Source organism: Homo sapiens, chromosome 16 (genome assembly GCF_000001405.40).
Source record: "Homo sapiens chromosome 16, GRCh38.p14 Primary Assembly".
Lineage (NCBI taxonomy): Eukaryota > Metazoa > Chordata > Mammalia > Primates > Hominidae > Homo > Homo sapiens.
Window position 1 is genome coordinate 73,872,941 of NC_000016.10, and position 27,476 is coordinate 73,900,416.

The following is a 27,476-nucleotide window of genomic DNA, read 5'->3' on the forward strand; positions in this document are numbered from 1 at the left end:
GGTGGTGGATGGTGGTGGGTGGTGGTGGGTGGTGGATGGTGGCGGGTGGTGGCAGGTGGCGGGTGGGTGGTGGGTGGCGGGTGGTGAGTGGCGGTGGTGGTGGATGGTGGTGGCGGTGGGTGGTGGCGGATGGTGGTGGTGGTGGGTGGTGGGTGGTAGTGGGTGGTGGGTGGTAGTGGTGGCGGTGGATGGTGGTGGTGGTGGGTGGTGGTGGGTGGTGGGTGGTGGTGGGTGGTGGGTGGTGGTGGATGGTGGGTGGTGGTGGGTGGTAGTGGGTGGTGGGTGGTGGTGGGTGGTAGTGGGTGGTTGGGTGGCGGTGGATGGTGGTGGTGGTGGGTGGTGGGTGGTGGTGGGTGGTAGTGGGTGGTGGGTGGTAGTGGGTGGTGGTGACCAAATTAGCCAAGTGTGCAGCAGCAAATCTCATTTGAAAAGCAACAAGTTCATCAACTACAAAACAAGACTCTTAGATCCATGGAAAACACAAATAGAGAAAATCCTCCCACTCATTTTATGTGTTTCTTTATCCTAAGTGGCATATTAAGCTAAAACGAAGTATAGTGAGCTCACACCAATGGCTCAGAAATGACACATTCCCTTATGGATGTGATTTATCACTGTTTTTACTTTTTACAGAGAAAAAAAACATATTTACCTTTAACATTTTTATTTGAGAAATGCAAATGGTAGATGGCATCATAATCATAAGCCTACAAACCTAAGGAATGTTGAAAGTTAAATATACATGGAAATTGTGCTATGACTCTTTAGAAAGGAAAAAAATGCATATGAATCAAATAATGTTGATTTTTACTCTCTCTTTAGAGGAGTTCCCTGTTTGTGGCTCACGTGACTAAATAATCTGATAAGAGGAGGAAGGCTAAATGGCAAACGGCAAACATCCCCACCTGATGTATTTCCTCAGCCCTGACCTTCAGATAAAAATCATACAGAAATCTGCAAAAGCTCCAAATTTGCAGCACCACATGCCTCCAACATTTTCAGACACAACAGTCAGGAGAGGAAAAAAAAGTAAGAAGAAAAAAAAAAGAAACAAAGGTATTGCTACTGAAAACAGTCAGCCTTTTCTCTTCAATATCTCAGGATTAGGGTCAGATGAATGCAATAGCTGCCTACGCCATTTCTTCCTCTGTCTGTGAACATTCATATTATAGGCACATATGTAATCTACATATGTGTGTGCCTATCATTTTTAAGTGTAGGTGTACCCAGTATCAAGTGTGTGGGGAGTTCACATAAGATATATTATATACATACTGTGTGCATATTTAGGAAGAAAAAAGACTTCAAACGGTAAAAATTTATTGCACTGTGAAATTAGCTAAAATTATGACAACTGTAAGAAAAAAAATTATACGGGCAAAATTTGGGTCTGGTGGAAGAATTCTTTGATGTCTGGATTCCAATTTAACCCCCGACTGAGTTCTAAGAATCAAATGAACAAAGTATATCATACACCCCAAGTCTGCCTGTCAGCACTAGTCATCATTTTTTATTTTATTCTTTCCAGCTGCATGTATTTACAAGACTCTGTTCTGACATTTCCTCCCCTCTAAATGTACACACTCACTGCTACGGGCAGTTGCCAAATACATTTGTAAAACAGTTCAATCCTGTGTTTGTTTATTCATTATGCCTCTCTATCAGTCTCAATAAATATGTAACACCCTAATTTTTTACATTTGCTATTACATCAAACCTTTGTATATTTGACTTACCTGTTTGTGTTTGAATATACACCACCCACGTTTAAAAAATATCTCAAGTACACAGTGAAAAGAAAACTGAATATTCACATACAAAAATTCACATATTATCCTGCCTTTCTGTTTAGGGTAGATTAAAGAATTTTTATAAAGATGAGGATTACAATGATATAGATTTCAAAACATCCCTGGGCACACAAATACTATGCTATTCCTATCTTGGTCTGCAATAGCAATGGCATATAACTCTGAACATATCCACAAATGGGTATTTTATATACATACAGTTGGCAACAGAGGCAGTTGTATATTCACTACATTGAAGAACGGTGAAGTCTCAACTGCTAGTACATGCTGCATACAGAAAGAACTTTTCCCGGGTATATAGCTGTTAAGTGAGCTAAGACTCTGAATACATTAAGGCAGTTATAAATGTTTAAAATGTTAATAATAAATCTAGGTTGTTTAAGGAGTATTTCCAAATAACATAAAATATTTAGTTTCCCTCACCCAACCCATAAAAAGATAAGATTTATCGCAAAATGTCTGAGGAATAATCAGCCATTTTTGGCTAATATATTTTAATATTTATACACATGACACATGCTGAATATAAATGATACATCATGATTTCCCATAGTGTATGGAATTTATACAATTAACTGCAAGATCCAATGGCTTCAAGGCACGTAAGGTGCAAACACAGTTACAAGGTTTTGCTGATTATTGTTATAAATCTTATCAAGCATAAAGGCATTAAAGTATATTCTGTTTACACCGTTCATTCTAAAATACAGCATATAAAAATATTATTATTTCTTATTAAAAGATTTATATTTTTCTGGCTTTTTTCTTTTATGAGGTAAATTTATTTACCAGTATTCAAAAAATACTTCCTATTTTTCCACTTCCAAATATGTGTTTGAAATATACCCTGAGATTCGATATCAATTTTCTAGTTATTTCTCAAGGGTTATATTTGTTCATAATAATAGCAGCAAACATTCTGGCATTATTCATTTGGTTTCTCCAAAGTGCTTAAATTTAAAAAGAATCAAATAACAAAAGCATGATGAACCGGATTGCTTATTTTACACACATCTGATAGCCAGATACATATGTATGCAGTTACGCATGTATATTTCTGGCACACCATTAATCATCAATGACAAAACCATGTTATCAATCCACCTACACCGAACATTAAATATTTTAATATTCATATAAATGGCATCAAATATATACACATGATTTTGCTTTTTAAATTAAGAGACTTTGGTCCTTAATGGAGATATTTTTCACTGGGCCTTTCCATTCCTTCTTAGCCATAGTAATATTTAAATACACTGGTACATAAAAATCTGCAATAAATTCTACAACACGACCCCAAACCGTCCAGTGTCTGAATTTTTTAAAAGGAGCTAAAGCCACAGCGTATGAAACATGAAATGGAAACATCCCAATCCCTGCATGCGTGATCCTGGGGTTGTCCACCCGTTAGTAAAGAGGCACTGAATTCTGCAGCTGCTTATCAAATCAGGTTTATGTTTCTGGAATGAGTTCCTGCTGCTGAGTCTGAATTTGTAGACAGTCATGAAAAAAATATCCTCTAAGACTGATCTAGCTCAAAAACAAAACCTCTGGAAAAACACGTAAGTTTTACCACACCCATGTACACCTAGGCAGCTAAAGAGTATGTTAACACGATGACCATCTGTATGCATGCAGACACAGGCTAATATATTTAATACATTTACTTGTATTCAGACCACATGCATATTAAATGTCATGCCTAAGTGTCAGTGATAAGATCCACATATGGGGTATATGTGTGTATCCTATCAGTAACATATATTCAATAATTTGTATGTTTACATTAGCTAAAGTACATTATCACTTTTCTTTTTTTGCTTTTTGCTAAAATAAGTCTGGAAACCAAAAGGGAGAAAATACTTGAGTATAGAAATAGTTCCTTTAATCAACTCCCCAGTTGGATATGTGGGGTAGGAATTCATTAGCATAGGCTTTTTTCCCTACTCATTTGTTAAACCAGAATGCTGGAAAGAACTAGAAAAGACTGCATTTCTCTTACTTTTCTTAACCATGTAAAACAACCCCCTAGAAGAGGTCTAGAATGAGCTTTGTTTCTTTTTTCAAATGGGTCTAATGTCCTTTCTCCACCACCTTCACACACAGACACAAAACCCACCGTGTGGGTTCACGGTCCACATCTGGCTCCCACGCAGAGTTGTACATTTGCAAGCACATCTTAAATATTGTGAAGCCAATTTGGACTTACTAAAAAATCTATGATACGAGTGAGAAATCATGCTAAATACGAGCCCTGGTAACTTTATTTTTAATGATGACTTTCAAAAAAAAAAAACAACAACAACAAGGTAAGGGAGAGAGATCAGCAGGGTGAATGTAAAAATTGTTAATCTTAAATTTCTACAAACCCAAGTGTCACAATAAGCATGTATGGTGCATCAAGCATAACAAAAAGAAACGAGATGGTTGGGTTCGGGGGGTTAGGTCGGGGGGGGGTCCCAGGCACTTGCTTCCTTGAACCCTCTGAATACATTTCACAATTCATCAGTTTTTGTCTTTCCTGCCACAAATGAGGACAATCAGACCAGACACCCATTAGATTCTTCATGCAATTTTTTTTTCTTGTTCATGACATGTTGGCAGGGAGGATGGCAATTCTGAAATCTTACCAAATGAGAAAAATGTCAGAAGCTGAACTGACAGCTAGTGGTTACTATGGTGATTGGTGATATTGAAAAAATATAATAAAATAAGACTCAGTTAATTCAAAAGGAATCAAGTTGGGTATTTTTAAGCCAGTTGATACAGATGAAAACTTAATCCTGATATTGGGACATTATCTTTTTGAGCTAACAGCCAAAGACACCATTTAGCTTAAATAATAACTAAATACACAGCTCATAATCTTGTGATTAAAAATAATAGAAAGAAACAGTATTGATAAATGGAAGTCAAATATTATTACCAAATGACTATCAGGGAAATATAGATTATATTCAGTGGAAAGAGGATTTTGTTCGGAGGAAAAAAATTAAAGTTTTAGCAAAATATTTTTAAAAAGAGAACATGGAAGCCTCACAGATAAAAAGGATTCTTCAGGGACAACTCAGATTCTATTAAAACACACACAAAGACATACACAAACATGGTGATTTCATCTTCAAAGTTCAACTCCCCCCAAAAAAGAAAATCCATTTTGATTCTAATGGTTAACATATCCAATCTCTTTATTTAAAAAAGATATTTAACAGAGAAAGCTTCATCATGAGATTTTTAGAAATATATATACATATATATATCTTCTCCATACCATCATTTCTCTTTTTGGTTGAAACCCAGTGTAATATTCTGACTACTTAAAGTGAGGGACCCTCATTTAATACTAAGCAAAATAATAGTAATAATAATAAAATACATATTGGCACCTTTTTCTAACATCAAGCAATGACAACTCTTGCTGGTTCAATCGATTGGTGCTATTATTTTTAGGTTTAATGGTTTTAAATGAAGGAAACAGAATATCATGAAAATCATATTTATAATTCACCAAAAATTATGCAATTGTTCATCCCACAGGTAATATACATGAAACCGAGAGGTGATTACTTTTTATAAAGAGAGTTTGAAAACAGTTAATAAAGAAGATGCAAAGTTTGTTAGGGGTTCAGCCAAGAAGAACCTATTGTATCTGAAAAATCTTTGACACAGAGTAAAACTTTTTTAAGCCTTCTCTTCACAACGACACTAAAATGGTATAAGCATAATGGATTAATAGGAAAAGTAGACTTAGGAAGACCAGAATCAGCTCTCATTTTGAAACAGTTGCATATTTTATCCATATGCCATACTCCCAGATCTAGTCTATATTTTTTTCATTTGATATAGGGATATTAAATTATCTACTGTTTCTTTTTTTTTCTTTTTCTTAAGTCAAATCTTTTGAGAGTTACAGGTAACTAGCGAAAACAAGATTGTTATTTATAACCTCAAGCTAGTATTTAATGCAAGAGGGAGGGGGGACATTATCAAGGAAGCTGCTCAGAAGAAAAAAAAATTAAGTCTTATTGGTTCAAGGAAGCTCTTCTCCACTGGACAGACTACAATGCCATCTACTGGAAAAGTGAAGTTCAACGTCACTTGAAACAGCAGAGCTAGTTTAAAAGGCTGATAGATGTAACTGGAAAGACATCCAGTCCTACATCCTTCACTGTTCAAAAAAGATAAGATATATATATATATATATATATATAGTTGTGGAAACATCAGTTCCTATTATAGATCATTATGTTCTTCCTCTGAGATCTCCTCCCAGCATTTTGCTTCTTAATTTCCAGCGAAAGCCTCTCTTTTTTAGCTTCTTCCAACTTCTCTTGAGGACCAAGTTAACAACACCCAGAAAAATAATCACCAGCAGCGAGCGACCTTGGGGTCCTTTTCTGCAATCTCTAGCTTGTGATTTTTCGCAAGCAGTTTGTGTTAGCATTTGCTCTGCAAAAGGTTTTTTTTTTCTTTTTTAATACCTAAAATCACAATAGGAAAGACTACCATCGTGGTCAGGAGCAGGTGGAGAAAAAAAAAAAAAAAAGCAGACACAGATCAAGCCCCCGGCTTCATAAGCACAAAGTCTCTTTTTATATGTTCTTATGCGGTATGGGATGGAGAATCTAAGGTCCCTTTTAAGAATAAGAATTCACCGAGGTTTTGTAAGCCATTCCCACATTTCCACCGGCATGTCCTTTGCTCATTTGCACGCTTCCCTTTCATTCTGGTTGGTTCGCCCTGTGATTTTTAAAATGAGAAATGGGAAGGAGGTAGGGTCACCATTTTCCACTCTCTAGATGAAGCAATTCCAGTTAAGGCAGGCAATAGTTAAGAAGCAAGAAGGGACTATCACTGTAATTAAATAAGAATTTGTTTTCACTAGTACTAGCAAAAAGAGAGTAAGTTCCTGCCTAAAAGCTGCTGCCAATATTTTCCATGTATAGGTATAAGTGTAAGTAAACAGCGGGGATTCTCAGCCTCCACAGTGTTGACATTTGGGGCCAGATAATTACTGTAGGATGGTGAGCAGTGTCCCTGGCTTCTACCCACTACTTGCCACTGGCGCACCCACACACACACACACAGTTAAAGCAATCAACAAGGTCTCCAGACATTGTTAGATGTCCCCTGGGGAAGGAGGGGGGCAAAATTACACCCTACTGATAACAACTGTTATAGGATCCTAATTTCAATTTTATATACATTAGTTCTCACCAGTCTCTATCTGGCTTTGATTCATGGTGGTGTGTGAAACAACATTTTTAAAGGAACTAAGAACATGGTGGAATCGGCGTGAATGGGAGAGTAACAATCTCCATTCTACACGTTCCATTACTTCAGGGCTGATGAGCATTCCTGACCTTTCCAAAGGCCTCCCTTGAAAGTTCTCCGGAGGAAACAAAAGGAAGAGGTTGGCTCATGGAAGGTCGCTGTCAGATTTGCCCCAAAAAGCAAGGGAAAAATTTTGCCATCAAAATGAAATCTTCCGGCAGGCAGAGAGGTTTAGATGGGGGATGGGAGAGAGGGCTGCGGAGCTATTTTATTCAAAGTGTTTAAATTAAGGGGCTTCACTATTCAAAGGCAAATAATAAACTGAAAAATAGGTCATCTTTAAATGAGAACTCTTTTTTTCCCTATAACAGGAAATCTGAACAGGAAAGTACAACATTTTAATTTCAGGATTTGACGTAATTTGCAACTTCAATGTGGAGCTTTTAAAAATTATCACTCTGTAAGAAAAGATGAGATTGGGATAAAAGTAAGAAAAGAAGTTAGAGTCTGGGGAGACACAGGCCTTATATTCAAGAGGGCTAGTGAAGTTAAAATTGTAGTGAAGTTCAGGCTTAGAGCAGTGTAGCTCTGTATTAACCTGAAATGCTTCTATCTAAGAGTAAAATCTCTCAAGTCTCATCCCAGAAGGTGTGTGCAGTCTCCATTTAAATGTCTCCAACAGAACACAAAATAATTTTGCAGTAACTGATCTACTGTATTAGATGTGCCTGGTCTATTTATTTCTGTTGCTTTTTAACATCTACCAAGAATATCAAAGTTTGCTTGGTGAAAAGTTTTCAGTCGGATAGTAATCTTTCCAAAATACCTTGAAAAATGTAAACGACATGTCTCTGCACCCCTTATTTACCAACCCTTTGATGATATAGGCGAGAAGAGTATGAACACATTTTTAACACTTGACATTTTCTAATATTCTGAAATCTTACTTTTCCATGTCACAGGCAAAGGGTATGTGGCATTGGGAAGGAACTGAATACAAAGTACTACATCCGCTCTTCAAATATGCAGTCCCTGGTAGCACCTTCTATAAGACTGGTGGCTTTTGTGGAGTGTTTCTTTCTTTAAATGAGCTGGACCACACATACTCACTCATTCAGAATAAGTCTATAGATGAACTGTCTCTGTATTTTTAAAGAAACTCAGCTTGTGCGGTCCGCTGATATCTCAGAGAAACAAGGAACCATTTTCACATAATGGATGGGGCTGCAGTGCGGAGCAGACAAGCCCCACTGGAAAGAATTCGGTCTGTCACGACATGCAGGAGAATTCTCTTATGTTTCTGCATCAGGTTTACCTAAACTAAGTTGATTTCCAGGGCAGAATTCATGGATTATGTCGTATTGGACCCAGGAAGGTTTGAAGGTTTGCTGGTAATGATCACACTCACACACACACACACACACACTCTCTCTCTCTCTCTCTCTCTCTCTGCCCCCCCCCCCCACTCTGCCCATGGTTACTGCTACTCTAAGCAGGCCCTTGGAGTCCAAAGAGAAAGTGTCTATAGCTTCACTGTTCCATTTTTATCTGTTTAGGAAATATTGATGTTATTAACCACACTTTTAACTGTCAGCATCTTGATATATTCTGGATATTTGCTAGGGTTCCCACTACTTAGTTGGTGCTATATGTGTGTGTGTGTGTATACATACACATATACATTTTAGATGGAGATGGGATATATATGTGTGTGTGCGTATGTATATATAAAGTTAAAAAAGAAGCTGGCTATTATCTGTTAAGATTGTCCAAGAGTGTGTATCTAAAGGATTTTCTTTCTGTTCTCTGCAGATATTACCTGAGCAGTGTCCCCTAAAATTGCTAGCACCTGGTGACCTGCCCCGCAGCTCCCCTCCAGTTTCCCTGCCTTTGCTTCATATAGAGGGATTTCTGTGCAGAAAACGCTCGTGGAGTCTGCCGTCTCTTAGTCTCTTAACTTTTATCGTCAGTTGCTAAATTAGCTAATGATTAATTAGTTAATGTTTTCAAAGCACTTTGAAGATGAAAAGCACCGCTAAGTGCTAAGTGTAAAACGGCATTAGTAATTCCACTCGGCAAAGACTAATTAGCTTTTAAAAAAATGTTCCCCCCAAACTGATCAATAATGTTTCTGGTATTACAGTAGGACTGTTTGTCCCACAGATCAGTAAGACCCACCTCACGTTTTAAGGCTTTTATGCCCCGAGACACGCAGAAATCCCGACTGAGGTTTATTGCTTGGTAACCTCTTGGCTTTCAGTGTGGCTGGAGTTGGACTAGTGATGTCATCTATACAAAATGCAGCATTTTTGCTGTCAAAAAAGCTTTAAAGGATTATTTAACAAAGCTAAAAGTAAAGAACTAAACTCTAGGAAAGTGGTACAGAAACATGATCAGTGAACTTATATTTAAGAAGAATTAAGCTTTTAAAGTTTTTTTTTTCCCATCTCTAAAAAGCTCTTTAACCGCGGTTCTCCAGGTGGCCTCTGAATTTATTGTGAGATTTCACTTTGATGGCTCTGAGTCCTCATGGGGACTATTATGTCAATAATTTCTACAGCAACATTTTATTCCAGGTACAGAAATGACTTAGAAGATAGAGCCAGGGTCTGGAAATTCCAGGATCCTACTTTAAATTACCCACATCAACCACGATTGAATGAAAAAAGATAGCTTTCACCCATTTTCCCCTTTCCAGCCAGATTCTTAATGGACAGACCTTTTTTTTAAGCTTCTTGGGTGCCAAGTGTCCCGAAACAACTACTCAAAAAAAGTTCAGCATTTTGTTTATTCCATCCACTTTCAAAGACTTAAATAATGTAAAGTTAATGGGAATCATGAAGCCAAAACAGGCAACTTTGCAAGAGGAAGCTTGTGGGTCATTTGTTCCCTTGATGCAAACATACTTGTCCCTGCTGTCTACCAGTGGGCCTTGGTTATAAACACTGGGGATTTGGGTTTTTTTGAAATGCCTGAGATTATTATTTTTAGTCAAGCTTTTTAAAAAAAAAAATAGTCTTTCACATCAAAAAAAAAACTACATGATTTCTATTAGCTTAAGGCTGGGATATTTGTGGTTTTTTGGTTGTTGTTTTTCTTTTTTTAAGGTGGGCAATTTCAGAATGACATTAAGATGCTGACTTTTTAGAACATCAAGAAAACATTATTAATATGTCATTCAAAATATGCAGTATTAACACATGAAACTCTACATACATAACAAACTGCAGAAACAACTCAGCTTAGAAAATACAAAGTTCAGCTAAACAAAAGGAATTTGACGTCTGGCAGCCTATGTTCTCTGTGTATTCTGTTACTCCAGGAATGAGTTTAGCTGGTGCATAAACACAGTAGCACATAAGCCATATATATGTGTGTGTGTGTGTGTGTGTGTGTGTGTATATGAATATGTATTTATAATGTGGACATGATATATACATACAATCACACACACGCACAATGCAACCACATCAATCAGTTGCTACAGACAACAATGACATGTGCACACATTCTCAGAACTTAAGGTTTGCTACCAACCTCAGTATCAGCCTTTCTTCCGTGTACAAAAATACATCTGCCAGAAAGGCGCGGTAAAAATCACCTGAAAACAAACAGACATGTTTTGGAAAAGTGTGGCCAGCTACTAGATGATTCCTTAGGGATTTCCTAAGTGAATATTTTTATAAAAAAGACACCTAAAATATGAAATAATTTGCACATAGCTATAACCCAGCCCCTGTGAGAACTAAAGATAAGCAAAGGTTAGAAGGATGAGGTGGTCAAGTCAAGGGTGCCTCTTACTGCCAAGGTCTCCATAAGTGAGTAGGACACAAAATATAGGAAAAGAGAAGGGGAGAAACTTGGAGAAAGCTACAATTTTGATCAGAAGGAGAAGTTACTTTGGAAATTTCAAGGATTATTTGAGATTCTTATCTAAATCAAGTTCCCTTCTTTTTCTTATAATTGAACAAGTGTTAAACTGTACCAGGCTGTCACAGCTGTCCCAATACGTGAACCACACATAGAGTAACAGCTTTCGTTACACATTTTTGTGAAGTAGTTTCCAGCACACTGTGATCAGAGCTTGCATATTTTTATACTACTCGCATATTGAAAATAAACCCAACATTTTAGATTATTTTTCTCATTGTGTATCAGGCCTGTATGGTTTCTGGAAGACAAAGGGGCAATTATGATTTTGTACCTACTGATCTGAATACAACACCTTGTTTTATTTTTGTATATTATGCTCAGTGTTTTGGTTAAAAAAAAAATTGGTTATGTGGGCCAATAAAGAAGTCCTGAAAAACTGTAGCTTAACCAAATTATTATCCATGGACTAAATGCTAATGCAATTTTTTCCACTTTCAGGATATCTTTAAGACAACATATCAAATACCCAAATCTTACAGGAGTGTGGAGGCCATGCCATATGACTTGGTTGGAGCTGTTAACAAAAGAAACATGGAAAAATCATGCAGTTTAGACTTTTAATTAAATTGTTTGTTTTGGATTCAAAAGCACTTTGTTCATTCAGCCCTGAGTACCAGTGGTGTTTCCAACCACAGATGACTATTCCCGAAATGACCACGGTTGACAGCTTCAGTGGTGGCTTTCAGAGTCTTTATTCGCAAAACACAGACATTCCGAAATGCCTTTATTTAAACTGTAATAAATAGACTATGCTTCAGAAACACTCTACAAAGAATAAGAATCTTTCTGCCTAAGTAAAAATGACCCTGTTTATCTGAATAGTTTTTGAATTAAATATCCACATGCTATTGTTTCAGAAACAATAAAAGTAATGATAGTCATCTATTGTTTATTGTCCTCTTCCCAGAATTAGAACTTAATTAGCTGCAAATGCCTTATCTTTTCCAAATCAGCATAATACACATTACCTAAATGTTGCCTCCTGTTGTTCAAGCCCTCTAACTTGGTAGATTCAAAATTAGCCAGTTATAGCAATGCTTTTCGCTTTAAATTTTAATAATAAACAGAGACATCCCCTTTCTTTCCCCCCACCCAGACCCTCCCTCTTTTCTGAAAACTGAAGTCTGCTGCTGAAAGGATTGAAAATCTGGAAAGAGTTTGGGGTGGACTGGCCAACCCCCTTTCATTTCCTTCAGATGTTTACAATCTAGCACCTTTCTGAAGACAAAGATGGGAAAAAAACCTATTTTTCCCTTTGACTGAAGGGTGAGACAGGGGGGTATTAAAAACTGATCAATGTAATTTTTTTCTCAGAAGTATTTGCACATCTGTGAAATAATGTAATTTATTTTTAAAAAACTTTTTATATGACATTCATGATTATAGCCCGATCTGGAGAATTATTCAAATATAAAATTAAATGTTCAAAAACTAGCTGCGCTGTGGATGGCTGAGCTTATCCCAGCTGTGCATTATACTTATATAATTCTATTAGAAGTATCAAAATGAGCCTTTCTAGATCTCACTGAATCTCTGAAAAGGGGAAGTGGTGTTTTCTAAGAAAGTGTGATGATCTACTTCTTTTTGTTTGTTTCATTTTTCCGTGGATCAGCCTCCAGGGGTCTAAAGATGCTCCCACCAAACTGTTCAAAAACAGTAACAAAAAAAGGTGATGGGAGAAGGGCTACTGAATAATAATAAAAGCATTCCGTAAAGTAGATTGTATTTTATTATCACAGGGTTTGGGAAAATCTGTGACTTAAAAGGAGGTTACAAACCTTAAAAGTAAATTCTGCTGTTTCAGTGAAATTGCTGGAGATATAATATGAGCCATCTGTAATTTCCCCTTCACTGCCCTGTTAAACACTGCAAGTCACTTTCACTCCCAGACCCTGATGCACCCACGCCCATCAAAAAGCAGTAAGTACCCCCCTGACTGAGGGAAATTTGCCCTCCAAATGTACAGTTTATAAACAAACTTTCCCTGACCAAATGTTAGAGCGAAGTTTTCCTTTCCATCCATATGCCTGTATACTGTCACCTCTGAATACATCTGCCTATAGGGAGGAATTCAATGTAATATTCATCAAATTCAAATTAATCCTGAACCTTACACAATCCATTCAAGGTAACAAATCGTCAATGACTTTTAAAATAATTGGAGCCCAGAAAATAAAAGACTATTAAATCTGTTTGAAGTTACAGATTGAAACCTACACCTCAAATTCTGTTACTTCCTTTTTTAAAAAATAAAATGCATTTCTAAAGCATTTACTATAAATTAAATATTTAAAAATAAACCAGAATTCGTTTATGGATTAATATTATCAAATTTTAAGAGGGAAAAAAAAACACCATTCCCATTATTTGAGGACACAAATTAACAGTCAGATAACCTCAAAAAAGCTTACATTTGAAAGAAAGGGATCTGCAGTTACCGTTTTTAAACACAGGAGCAAAATAAGGGCGAAGATATTTCTGCTGCCTAAGACAGACGGACTTTAATAACACTTAACAGAATGACGCACATAATAATCTCAGAAAGCACTTCTTATGCCTCATCCATCATGCCGAGGAGAAAATGAAGCCTTCGACAGCATTAGGAATTATTCTAGATCTTGTCAGTAATTCGCAGCTCCTCTGTAGTATCACAACACAAATGTGCGTGTGAGCGACACTGACCATTAATCTAGAGAGTTTTTTCGCCTCACAACAGCGTGAGGAGAATGTATCAATTGTTTTGTGGAGAAATGGCACATGCAAAGCCACACAAAATAAAACAAGGAAAATCAGGGAGATGTATGGGGAGATAAACAAACAGTGTATTAAGAAATAAACATGTTTTCTATCACTGTGAAAGAAATCAACACAGTATCCTTAGCAACTGGGTTAGGTGAATTGGGAACTATAAATGTCCTAGCTGAAGGACCAGTCTGTCACTGATTAAAAGTTTCTATAAAGTTGCAACATACTGTCCACATCCTTAAGTAATAAGCCCTTAGGTGATGAGAAAATGAAGGGTTTCCGCTGCTCTCTGGAAGAGGAATGCAAAAAGATCCACCTTCTGCCTTCAGTCAAAAATCCATATGGTCACCTGAGTTGTTTGTTTCACTCACTGTAAAGTTCTCCTTTCAAAAAATTGGGATTGGGCGATGGTAAGGATTAATAAAATTGGGAGATGCTAGGATTAATATATGCTAAGGATTATAAAATAAATTAACAAAATATCACCTTATTCACAGAGATCTCTAGCTGTGACAGCGTGTTGGCGGCAAAGCAAATTTGAACTCCCAGGCCTCGAGATAAAACAAACGAGAGATTTTGGCAGGATCTTCCTCAAAATGAACTCTAGTCTTAATAGTATGGTGACCATTCTAAAATGGCCTGTGCTCCAAAGAAAAAGGTTTATAAATATTTGCAAAACAAACTCTTAAAACATTCCTCTGAGTCTACTCCAAATCGATTTCTATACATGTTCTATAAAGATGAAAGCTAACTGGATGTCTGGTTTATGATAGATTAAAATGGTTTAACTTCCAAAATGATGTACTCCACACAGATGTGTTTCTGTGAAGTTCTGTGAACTACACCACGGCAACAACAAAAAAAAGCAGGCTCTTGTCAGATGGAATGAAGTGAATGCTTCTTTAGAGTAGATGAATTGGATTTGGGGCCAGGAAGAAACCAAAAAATTTAAAAAAAATACACAGGTGAGAAAAGGTAAACACAAACTAATAAATAGTAATAATAATTTTAAAGTTTTCTAAAGTAACACACACACTTTTTTTTGTTAATAAAGTATGTTGGGTAACTTAAAACAGCCCAAAATCACTTAGAAATTCGTGTTCAATGCACCCAGAGTTCTATCTCATTTTCAACACTTAAAATCTGAATTTTTTTTAAAAAAACAAACTTTTCCACCTCTTTGGAATGATGAGCAAATTTCAAGAGAAGATATAAGTGCTAAGTCCTCATCTTAGGTTGGACTATTTGACCCACTCCCAGCTGGGAGGAACGGTTTATTATTCACAAGTAACAAACTCAGCAGCAAGATAAAAACAGCTCCCAGGAAGTGGATGCAACGGGGCCCCTCCTTTCCATCTGCATCAGCCCACCTCCGTCTTCCTCTCCCTACCGCAAGCTATAAAGCTCAAATGTCTCTAGGAGCATCACCGAGGCCTGGCAATGGACAGGTATTTGTACTGAATAATGCTCACGTCAGGAATGAGTAAAACTAGGTTAGAAGTTGAGGTTTTCACAAAATAATGAAGAAGAAATGTCATGCTAGCAGCGGTAACGGCATAAATTGTGCTCATTCATTCATTATCCTTTTTCCCTCCCCTTCCCCCCACGGAAACATAATTTTTATTTTTCAGATCTACATGCTTGCGAGGGAATACGGCTTTTGCCATAGTTGTTGCTCTCTCGAAGCCCAAGATGAGAGACAAAGATGATTTGTAAAGATTAAAAAAATAGTAATAATAATAAAGATGGGTGTGGCAACACATTTCTTCTAGATTTCAATTCAAGGAGAAAAGGTAAATAGGATTTCCCAAACAAAATTACCTGGAGCTTTAACTTTTACTTTATCTAATTGAACTACAGAGAAAATATCAGCTAAAAATGTCACCTGCTCCACAGTAAATACACTGCTCCTAGTTCAGGAACTGGAGGAGGGAAAAGAAAAATGTTTACATTTCAATTGTTCAGATGCCGATTCTGAAAACGATAACAAAAGAATACTCAAGAAGATACTTCTGTGGGCAGCTTTCCGGGTGGATGTCTGGGCTGGCGGCTGTGATGTGGGGGCTAAGTGTAAGCAGAAACAATTCAGAGAGGCTGGGGTCCACCTTGGAGGTCTAGTTAAGGTGCAGACAGATTTCAGGCTAAAAAAAAACCGGGAAGGATCCCTGTTCCCCCAACGCCCGCCCCCTACCACCCCCCCAAAAAATCCTGTAAACCTCTGCTGTCTGGTAGCAAGCCCGCATACTCTCCAGTGCTGAGATAAAGACCCAATCTGCTCATCAAACACCTCCAGGCTCCACCATCTAATAGAAACAAATTGGCAATGACTGCCCAAGCTAGTAACACAGGCCCACTGATTTGTAGATTGATACGGATGCCTAATGATCCCCTTGGGCAGATCAATAGTAACAATCCTCATCCCTGCCTTTCTTCTTTATTGGCATAGAAGACTAAGGCAAGGAGAAAGCCGGTCTTAGAAGAGGCCACAGTGCTACCTGGGGACAGATGGGAATAAGGACACAGGTGCGGCTGTGCAGGAAGGAAGCTGCGCCAGACCCGCGCTCCAGAACTTTCCACTGACTGTCTCGATTCATTCCATGTTTTTGGCAGGCAAAGGGTGTAAGAATGGGACACGATATGCTTTTCTATTAATAGTATCCGTGCACAGTGTTCAGTGAGACCCAGGCTAGAGTCAGCACAGCTGCCTTCATCTGGGAAGGGGAAGAGAAGTGATGCAAGCCCCAGTGCATCTCCCAGAGAATGAACTTGGTGGACAGAAAATGCCAACGATGTGATGACAGAGAATGGAAAAAGGCGAACAAACATGGGAAGTTGCATCTTAGGAAAACTTAGGGTGAAGTACCTATGATCAAAGAGGGGCAATAATGAACCGCATTGTTTTAAGTATCATCCAAAGGAGGCAAGTGGATTCATGCGCTGTTGTTTGAACATGCTTAAAACACCCACTGCCTACCGGACCCCAGTGTATGGGTTAATTCTCACACACAGGAGCTATTCTCTGTGCCCTCACCCTTCTCCTGAGTGCAGGTTTTCTTGAAGTTGACAGCGGCTCACCCTTCTACTGACTCTTCTCCTTTCTGTAGGCCAATCCCATCCCCGCCCCCAGAGCCAGGGCTTATTTTCCATTTGTGTATTATTCTTGTGAATAAAATTATCCAATTAGGAAATCCATTTAAAGTCCTTAACAATAACAGGGAAAAACTAATGGAGTTGCTTTGGATTTTCTTTTTCAATAAATTAATGTTAGTGATGTTCTGTGGATTCTTAAGTGCTCATTTATATCATCAGGGTTATTGCACACATAACAATTAGTCCTAAATTTCTATACTGATTTGTCTATACTCTAGGAAGTCCATTCTCCCAAAGAAGTAGTAGACAAGACTCGGAGAAAACTTACTGGCAGGCAGAGCGAATTTGACTTCTAAAATAAATAAATCTATGACATCTAAAAACCTTTGTACTTCGTTGTTAAATTTTTTCTTCTTGTAATTGTAAGAGTGTAAAAAAAAAACCAAAAAAAAAAAAAACAACAAAAAAAAACCTCTCCCTTCTTCCCCTTTTACAACGACTCTGTGCACATTTGCAGGTGTTGCATACAAAATAGCCAAAAGGGGTAGGGGGCAGCGAATGTTCCATTTTTACTCCTGCATTCAGACCTGCAACTAGCCGCCTGAGAATTTGCTTTGTTCAGCAATCATTCTCGTTTGGTTTTGTTATTAAAGGGAGATAACACTGAATGTCAGAGATGAAATTGCATTTTCTTTATTGTCAACGGTTGAAACCTTTGCCACCCAACCGATCTAGTGAAAGATTCGGTTTTTTAATTTTTTGTCATAATAAAAATATTTTTAATCTGGTCCCTTCTTTTTCTCTTTTGCATACTCAAACACAGAACTGAAGCTACAATGAAAAGCCTTGGTATCCCAGCCCACTGCGTAATATCACAAATTAGTCATCTTCTCTTTCCTGTACGTTACATCGTCCTATTTAAATAAAAGCAAACGTGGAGCCGTGTTAAATTTTGACAGTAAAGGGTTTGCACTGATGGACCAAATAATCACGTGCGCTAGGGCTCCGGCACTGACCACTTAAAATTCAAATTTCACACTAACGATAAGTGTAATCATCGCAATCAGCATCACCACCACCACCATCACCATCATCACAATAAAGAGATGCATTCTGTGAGCTGGTGACATCAATCAACTGTGTGGTGCAGATCAGAAGAGGCGCTCCCCTCTCCCTCTCTCACTCCGTCTGTCTTGCTGGCTTCCCCCTACCCCACCTCGCCGCTCCCCCCCTCCACCTCACCCCCGCTCAGAGAAGTGATCACATTTAATTCATTGCATCATTATGTCATCTCCATACTAATCTCTGCCCTCACACCTCTGCCACTTTGACATGCAAATGAGCTAGAAAAAAGCCACACATTAATATAAAAAAGTCACAGCAATCATGTCATGATTTCCTGCCTCCCAGCCCCACAGCATTCCCTCCAATCCCCACCTCTCCCCCCAGCTCTCTTTCCAGCACGCTGTGCTGGTGATCACAAGAAACAACAGCAATCTGTTGAAGATCAGACGCTAAGACAGGGAGGTGGGGAGAAAGATACACACATACACGTGTCAGCAACGCGGCCCAGGCAGTCCTATTTGCATATTCACATGAGTTCCGTTCTCAGATTGCTTAAGCAGGGAAGAAGTTAGGTAGCTCCCCCACCCTCCTACCCTCCCCGATCCATAAAGAAAACAGCTACTGAGAAGGAAGGAGAGGGAGAGAGAGGGGGAGAGAGGACATATGAATGTAAAGGGAAAGAGAGAGAATATGAAAAGGGAGGGGGCATGGAGAGAGAGAAAGACACACGCAGAAAGAGACAGAAGGAAGAAAAGAGAAGAAAAGAAAAGCTGTCCACATCTACCTTACCTCAGCTAGCTTGCTTTCTGTTGCTCTTAAAAGGAATTCCCTGTGGTTCCTTTAGAATTTTTGAGAACCATCCTTCAGGGTTTTTAGTTCTCTCTCTCTCTCTCTCTCTCTCTCTCTCTCTCTCTTCCTCCTCCTCTTTCTGTGTTGTGACTGGGTTTATAAAAAAAATAAAAAAGACAACTCCATGTTAAGCTAGCAGTCAAGGAAGCATCATGAAGTCCAGGGCTACAGGGGGAGGGAAGAAAGGAGGAGGGTCACAGCTTAATGCTTTACAAAGGAGAACCTGGAGACTCTGTTTTAAAACATCCCTCTCACATACAATGACTGACAAAGACAAAAATATATGTACTTATATGTATACACAGAGACATATGTATGTTTTCACCAGTAAGCCAGATGTCAAAAATGTTCAGATTGTGGTGCAAGCAAATGTAGAAAAATTATGAGTCCTTCTGAAAACCCCATTGCGGATCCACTTTGCTGCTCCCTGGTTGCAGAGGGGGCCAGGCAGCGAGCTAGGGGCTTTATTTGCTGAATCACATTTGTGGCAATACCTGGGTAATAAGGGACTGACTCGAGATGGGGTTCCAGCTACTGCAATGAATTTCCCAGCTTTGATCAGTTTTCACCAGTACTTTCGTGGTATTGAAAATGTGTGAACATGTCCACAAATTTTCTGGCTTTTTTTTTCTTGCAACAACTTAAAAAAAAAAAGGAAGAAAAAGAAAAATTGCAATTAAATATATATATATATGCAAGCTGATGTCACAAATAATAGCTCTTTCTACATATTCCTTACGAAGTACAGCTGGTATGGATTTAAAACATAGAATGATTGGTGCAAAATACACCTTATTTTCTAGTGGCCTACTGTATAATATTATCCTAATTGACTTTATTAGCTCCGGTGAAATGTTACTGTCCCTCCAAGGAACCTGCCTTCGAAGACAAGCAAGATGCGGCAACACTGATGAACAGCAGCTGATTCAAAGAAATTAAGTGATGGTCTGTTAAGTGAAAGGAATAAAAACATTTTCCAACTACAATGAATGGCATGGAGTTTAATTCCATTTCTCAACCTGTTCATTTCAACTAGCAAAGACACAAAGACATCTGATGGCCTAAGAAACTTTAACAGGAATATAATTCTAAAACCTGGCCAGAGGGATACATTTACAAATTGGTTTTGAATCCTAAACTTGAATAGTAGGAAGCATGTTTCACTGTAAAAGAGGGAAGAAAAACATTTTTATGGTGAAGTCATAAGCTCCTTAATATTTATGTAAGTAGACATTAAATAACTAATATGGGCATTATAAAAAGCACAGTAATTGTAAGAGGAATGTGAAAACAGGAATTACAGCATCTATATGTACCCTGCACAAAGACCTAAATGTGGTTCATTATTTAAATCACAGCACATATCACATATGAGAGAACACTGTAATATATCTACAATTGACCTTGCAGGGAAAGGAAGAAAGGAAGGAAGGAGTTAAAAAGACGTTCGCCTTTACACCAATAAATAAAGAACTTGGGGGTCAGTTGCTGAGGGTGGGTTAAGGAAATGCCAAAATAAAAATTGTTTCTTTATTTGAAACAGAACTCTTGGCAGACACACATTAGAAAAATTAATTTCTCTGTGTCTCTCAGAGAAACTATGAGAAGAGAAATGTTTTGTATTCATGACCTGAATTCTGAGAGGAGGGAAAAAGGTAATTTTAAGAATCTGACCCTAGTGCATGAGTTATAGCTCAGTACCCAAAATTGATGAAAACTATCTATGACAAGACTCATCAATGAGTCCCTGAAATAAAGAGAAAGAGAAAATAACCAAAACATTAGACCCAGGAACATTATATTTCAATATTATCATAAGAATTAAATGTAATTCTTGAAGCGACTAGTCCCTGGGGTCACATATTAGGCCTTTTCCCACTACCCCACCCCTGCCTTATTTTTTTTTTTTTAATAGAGGTCATCCAGGCTGAAAAGAAAAACCCAAATGAAAAGCATCTTCAGTGTGCTTATAACATGAGCTGCAAGGGGTCAGCCAGCGTCTTGTATGGCCTCATAAAAAATACATAACCAGACAGCCTAATAGTATTTCTTTGCATTCGTTTTTGGATGGAGAATGGGGGTTGGGGGCTGGGGAGGAGAAAGGGTTGATGTTGGTAGCTATGATGGGAAACAAACAAACAAAAAAAAAACACAAAGACAGCAGAAAAAAATATATGTTTAAAAAGGGGATAGTTAGATCATCTTTTTCTTTTATGAAAACATATTAAGCACAATTCTAAACAGCGATTGATTTACACTATTCTATTGATTTACACAATTCAAAAATGTGATCAATCTCAATTTTTTAAGACAGGAAAAGGTATATCTACGGGTATCTCTCTGCCCTCCTATTTCTCTCGGCTAATCATGTGAACTGGAAGCTTAGCAATGCTGGGCCTCTCCCAGTTCATGTTTTTAGCAATGTAAACACTCACTCAAATACAGATGTATAAATGACACTTATTTTGGATGATTTCTGAAACTGAAAAAAATAATAATAAAAAAGGGGAAATATTGCTAGGGCTTCTGCTTCCACTCAACACAGAGGATGCAGAGAGACATATTACAGAGGGAGAAGATGGAGCAGCTAGGGAAAGAGAGAGAGAATGGGGAGAGAGAGGGAGAGAGGAGGAGAGACAGAATAACACAATTGGACAACAAATAAAAATAAATAGCTCTAAATGCTGGGGAGATGCAAGAAGCACTAAATATATTCCTTCCCCTCCCCCTCACTTCTTTGCTCCCAAATATAGCCCAGAGATGAGTGACCCTGCTGGGAAAGATGGAGGCAGAGAGGTGACCCCGCGCTAACCAGCCTGTTAGAACTAATAAGGTGTTCTCCTAAGCCACTCCACTGACATTAGGGCAGTACCGAGATCACTCTCTTTGTTACTGCCTACCTCAGCTTGAAATTTACTACCCCATTACCTTATTAAAGAGACAGCTCTCATTCTCTAGATTTGGTGAAGATAAATAACTGCATTATTTTTATTTAAATGTTATGCTTGTACTCAGTAGTTCAGATATTAAAAACCTACGATTTACAACACAGTCACGTGAATAATCTGCCGTGGGTGACTCCCACTGAGACAGAAGAAGAAAGGCAAGAAAAGCCTGAATTTATTTCTCTATTCTCTTTCCTCTCCCCACTCTCCTTACTCCATCTGGGGGTCAAAGAATAGGAAATATTCTTCAGAGTTGCTGAAGCTGGGTAGTAAGTTCAGCATGGCACTGTGTTACTGTAGGTGGGGCATCATCTGTAACTTTTTCATGAATAAGACTCTGTAACCGAGTTTCCCACTAGAACTTTATGGTTCTTGGCCGGGTGCGGTGGCTCATACCTATAATCCCAGCACTTTGGGAGGCCGAGGTGGGCGGATCATGAGGTCAGGAGTTCGAGACCAGCCTGGCCAACATGACAAATCTCCATCTGTACTAAAAATACAAAAATTATCTGGGCGTGGTGGCTCACACCTGTAGTCCCGACTACTCAGGAGACTGAGGCACGAGAATCACTTGAACCTGGGAGGTGGAGGTTGCAGTGAGCCGAGATTGCACCACTGCACTCCAGCCTGGGCAACAGAGTAAGACACCATCTTAAAAAAAAAAAAAAAAAAAAAAAAAAAAAAGAACTTTATGGCCCTTAATCATGCAAAGGAGTGTAAACTTTTAGGGGTTTTACATATTGTTTAAGGATGTGTTTTAGTCTTCCCATAATAATTTAGTTTGCTTGAGGAGCTTGATATTAGCAGGTCCTAAAGGGATGGAAGACAGGAGATACCCTCAGCCATCCAGTCCCCCAAAAGCATCCCTGAGATGCTTGCCTCATGACATAGCCCAAGAGCACACAGGCTTACATATGCTGAATGAACAGTCAACGATCAATCAATTGAAGACACCCAGAGATCCTTTCTTTATAGCAATCATGACCAAAGCAACTTTAGAAATGGACACATATCTTGGCTGGGTGCGGTGGCTCATGCCTGTAATCCCAGCACTTTGGGAGGCCGAGCGGGCAGATCACGAAGTCAAGAAATTGAGACCATCCTGGCCAACATGGTGAAACCTTGTTTTTACTAAAAACACAAAAATTAGCTGGGCATGGCGGCGCACGCCAGTAGTCCTAGCTACCCAGGAGGCTGAGGCAGGAGAATCACTTGAACTTGGGAGGCGGAGGTTGCAGTGAGCCGAGATCACGCCATTGCACTCAAGCCTGGCGACAGAGTCTCAAAAAAAAAAAAAAAAAGGACACATATCTTGAATGAATTCTACCTGACTGACCTACAGAGACCATATCCTACCAAAGACTCTGTTTAATCCTGTCTAAATTTATACTACTGGTTTAAACAAACTATTCTGTAGTGTTTTAGAGAAATCGTGTCTACTTAGCAAAAACTCCAAGTTCTTTCATTATTTTGTAAACTTATTCAGGCAATGACTTGCCTCCAATAAATGGTGTACTAGTTCAGGTTCAATACCCTTTGTTACCAAGTGATTTCCATGGAATAGGTATTTGCTGTGATTGGACTTAAACATAAATAATTACCATTAGAATATTAGTATATCATAAAGGAAGGCACATGAAGAATCAACATCTCAAGAGACACCTAAGAAATAAATGGACAGGCTTCCCTCTGCTGAATAACAGCTTTCAAACACAATGTATGTTGTTGAGTGAATTAATTTATGAGTTACTAGTTAAAAAGCAGAACCAGGACTACTCTGCTTGCTTTGTGCAGGGCATAGTACCACTATATAATCACACACAGGCAGGGGCCAAGATGCAAGGCGGTACTGTCAAAATATACAAATGGTGCTCTTAGGGGAAGTCTGAGCTGTGGTCTGGCTCAACCATTAAGCTACTATGTGAACTTGTGAATATCATTTAACGTCTCTTGGCTCTATTTTCCTTGAACATAAAATGAATAAAATGTGGAACTCTTGTCAATAACATGGTTCTACTTCTTTGTAAGATAAATAAATGAAATAATATTGAAATACTCTTTCCTTTTAAAATGGAAGCGCTCAAGAGCCTCCCAGCCTACGTGGTATGAGCATGAGGTCAGTGGTGAGGAGAGGTGTGTGCCCTGAAAGGTCCATCAGCCCCATGGGTCCTCAACCATTATTGGGTCATGAGTTATCTTATTCCTCGTCATGTGCAATGCAGTACATAATCGTTATGGAACTTTGTTTAATACCAGAAGCCGAAAAATAAAGTAGGGAGCGTATTGAAATGAATGGCCAGGCACAGTGGCTCAGGGAGGTCAAGGCAGGAGGATGGCTTGAGCCTGGGAGTTTGAGACCAGCCTGGGCAAATAGCAAGTCTCTGTCTCTACAAAATAAAATAAAAATAGCCAGGCATACTAGCACTCGTGCCTGTAGTCCTAGCTACTCAGGAGGCTCAGGCGGGAGGATCATTTGAGTCCAGGAGTTTGAGGCTGCAGTGAGCAATGATCATACCACTGCACTCCAGGCTGTGCAACAGACTAAGACCTTGCCTATAAAAAAAAGAAAAGAAAAAAGAAATGAAGCTTCATGAGGAGATTAAAATAGTAAGAATTGTGCCAAATTGCTTCCAGATGTTCACAGGAGACATCTATCTGATCAAAATTCTTATATATCAACATACGACTCTATTACTTGAAAAACTTTAAAACGAACTATATGTATGTATACATATGTATATATACACATACAACCCACAAAATTGTATTTAATTTGGCTTTCACTAACATTTTCCGTCAATACTATTTCTTTAGAGAAGGGAAACCCCACACCGCCCTGATCGCATTGTTTAAAGCACAAATACAAAATTTTTTTAAATAAATTAATTTTATAGCATAATATCTGAGAATTTCAGATATCACATCATGAAAGCAATTTTTGCCTTTTTATACTAACCCACATTTCAATTCCAAAATGACATATGAAAATAATGTCACATTCTTTTTTTTTAAACAATTCATACTTTTTCCCTTTATAATGTCTTTTAGGTAAATTTTTAAAGTATTTTCATTAACTTAAAAAAGGCAATATTTGTTTACAAATGCTATCATTAATGACTGTCCTAAAAGCAAATTATAATACAATTCTTAATAATGTACTAATCCAAGATAAAATAGTTTTCACTTAAAATTACCGTTTCATACCATACAAAAATGATGAACTGATTTTTAAAATTCCTAAGAGGGTTGACAAGATTATAAATTACTATGAAAATGGTCTATGGGTCAAAAAAGGTTGGGAAATGCTGATCTCTGAGGTCTACTTTAGCTCTAAAATTCTATATTTTAAATGAGACACCTCTGACTTTTCTAAATTAGTAGAAAGTAAACTTGCAGAGACTGCTAAATTCCCCATCTCTCACACTAGATACTTCCAATTCACCTGAATATAGCATATCAAGCCTAAAAATTTAAACAGATGAAAATCTGGAAATGGGAAAAATAGATAAATGCATTTAAAATGTGAACTTATCCACTGTGTCTTACATTTCCACATTGTCTATTTGCTGGGTTAGTAATTTACTTTCTCCAACAGGCCATTTGAGCCTCAACCATTGGGAGACAGTAGCCTACACACACTGTTATATACTGGTAACCAACTAGATTTAAAATGTGCCTCAATTTCTAACCAAAATTTTCAGTAATATCACTCAAGTCACCAAGAATATACTTTCAAAGAATCAAGCCAGTGACAGAATAAAGAAAAGCAACAAGACCTCAAGACATCCACATCTCTGGACTTACGGATCCGAGGAGAAGGGGTAAGGTTGCAGCCTTATTAACAGGGGTCACCTAGTTCTTTATGTGATAGTTTGGATCTTAAATTAATATCTATCAAGGATGTAGGTTCCCAAAAAGTGGATTATAATTGGTCCTGGACTTTAGAGGGGTAGCAACATTTTTCTGTAAAGAGTCAGACAGTGAATGTTTTAGGGTTTGCAAGCCATACAGTCTTCCTCACAACTATTCAACCACTCTCATAATGAAACAGCAGCCATAGAATATACATAATCCATGGAGCATGGCTGTGTTCTCATAAAACTTTCTTCACAAAAAAAAGTGGTAGGCAGGACTAAGCCTGCAGTTTGCTGATCCAAATCTATAATAACTTTTCTAATAACGCAATTGAAGGATGGAATAATGGGTGGAGCTGTACAATAGAAATGAAAGAATTAGAGAATCTTAATGATTCCAAACACATAAATTTTAAATTTTTCTCTGATTCAGATTTGTGGCCTGTATATAGTATGATATCAAGGTGTATGTACTTCAGTTTCACCCTTTCAAAGTGCAGTAAACTCACAACTAACTCCCTGAAGAGGCAGATCAGGTAATATTTGTTCCATTTTATAGATATAAGAATTGAGGCTCAGAGACAATGACTTCTCGAAGATGTCTGATATCATAACTGGCAGAGCTAGCTCTGTCCTAGGGTTCTTAGGCAGTTTCGTTTGCCCCTTCAAATAAAATTACTATTTAAACACACATACACGCAGAGTTTGTTTTCAAGATGAACCAATGCCATAGAGTAAAAATTTACTAATAGAATTAAGGTATTTTTGAGAAGCTTAGAAAACAACTAAATTAGCAATAAAATGACCTAAGTTATAAAGTATCAATTCTGGCCAGGAACGGTGGCTGATGCCTGTAATCCCAGCATTTTGGGAGGGCAAGGCAGGCGGATCACCTGAGGTCAGGAGTTCGAGACCAGCCTGGCCAACACGGTGAAACCCCATCTCTACTAAAAATAGAAAAATTAGCCAGTTGTGGTGGTGGGCACCTGTAATCCCAGCTACTTGGGAGATTGAGGCAGGAGAATCGCTTCAACCCAGAAGCCAGAGGTTGCAGTAAGCCAAGATCATGCCATTCACTCCAGCCTAGGCAACAGAGTGAGACTCCGTCTCAGAAAAACACAGAATACCAATTGACATATTTGGTTAGGGTCTTGCCTTTGAAGTTTCTTTTGCTGAGCTAGATAATTTGCAGTTATCTCAGTTCTTAAATGTTTGGGAATCACTACCCTTTGTAACAAAGATGGCTAGATGTCTATGGTTCAGGTTTGTTGTTGTTTTTTGTTTGTTTGTTTGTTTTTTAAATCAACTCTATATACAGTCAGAATAGCAGATATATCCATTTTGCAGTGAAACTTCCTTCTATTTAAGTTTTCTTTATCCCTGCCTTTCAGTGCATTCCTTCAAAAACATATTCACGTGCTACACTCAAGTTTCACAAATTTGAAAAATCCAAACCCAAAATAGTCATGCCAGGTTTACCATGATATTCATGTGGAATTCTTTACACTATAAAAACAAAATTTCTTTTGGGGAGTAATACTTATCAGTCAAGAGCCATTTTCACAGAATATGATGTCGGTTCTTAAGTCATGTAACAAATCGAGGTTTTGATTTGACATCATGAAAATGACAGTGTGGTAGATTAACACGTTCCTCTCATAGTTTGCATCTAATGAGAAAAAAGCAAACGCCGACTGGATACATAATGATAGGGCCTTGCCAAATGACTTTTTAGGACATTGCAGGTTTCATAGAAGGTGGAATGGAGGAAAATAATGGGAACACTCCAACCTCACACGGCATGTACTAGTTCAGAGAAGCTAAATTCCAAAGTACCCTTACCGTAACAGTCCCACTGTAATATTCCCGTTTCAAATTAATCCTGAGACTCCCATACTTATCCATAA

General features: G+C 38.2%; 1 protein-coding gene across 1 annotated transcript in view, besides 1 other annotated feature; it reads right to left on the reverse strand.

The window, feature by feature from the left end:
- The window catches only part of ZFHX3 (zinc finger homeobox 3), a 1,109,046-nt gene extending 1,090,056 nt beyond the window's left edge, over positions 1–18,990 (reverse strand). The window contains exon 1 of the mRNA NM_001386735.1: positions 18,711–18,990. The gene's annotated coding sequence lies outside the window, so the exon portion shown is untranslated. The remainder of the gene's footprint in view (positions 1–18,710) is intronic.
- Positions 5,710–6,004: a silencer, noted in NCBI's record as "tiled region #15378; HepG2 Repressive non-DNase unmatched - State 12:CtcfO". NCBI's record gives its function as "represses a minimal TATA promoter and a strong SV40 promoter by Sharpr-MPRA in HepG2 cells {active_cell/tissue: HepG2}" and the evidence as "EXISTENCE:reporter gene assay evidence [ECO:0000049][PMID:27701403]".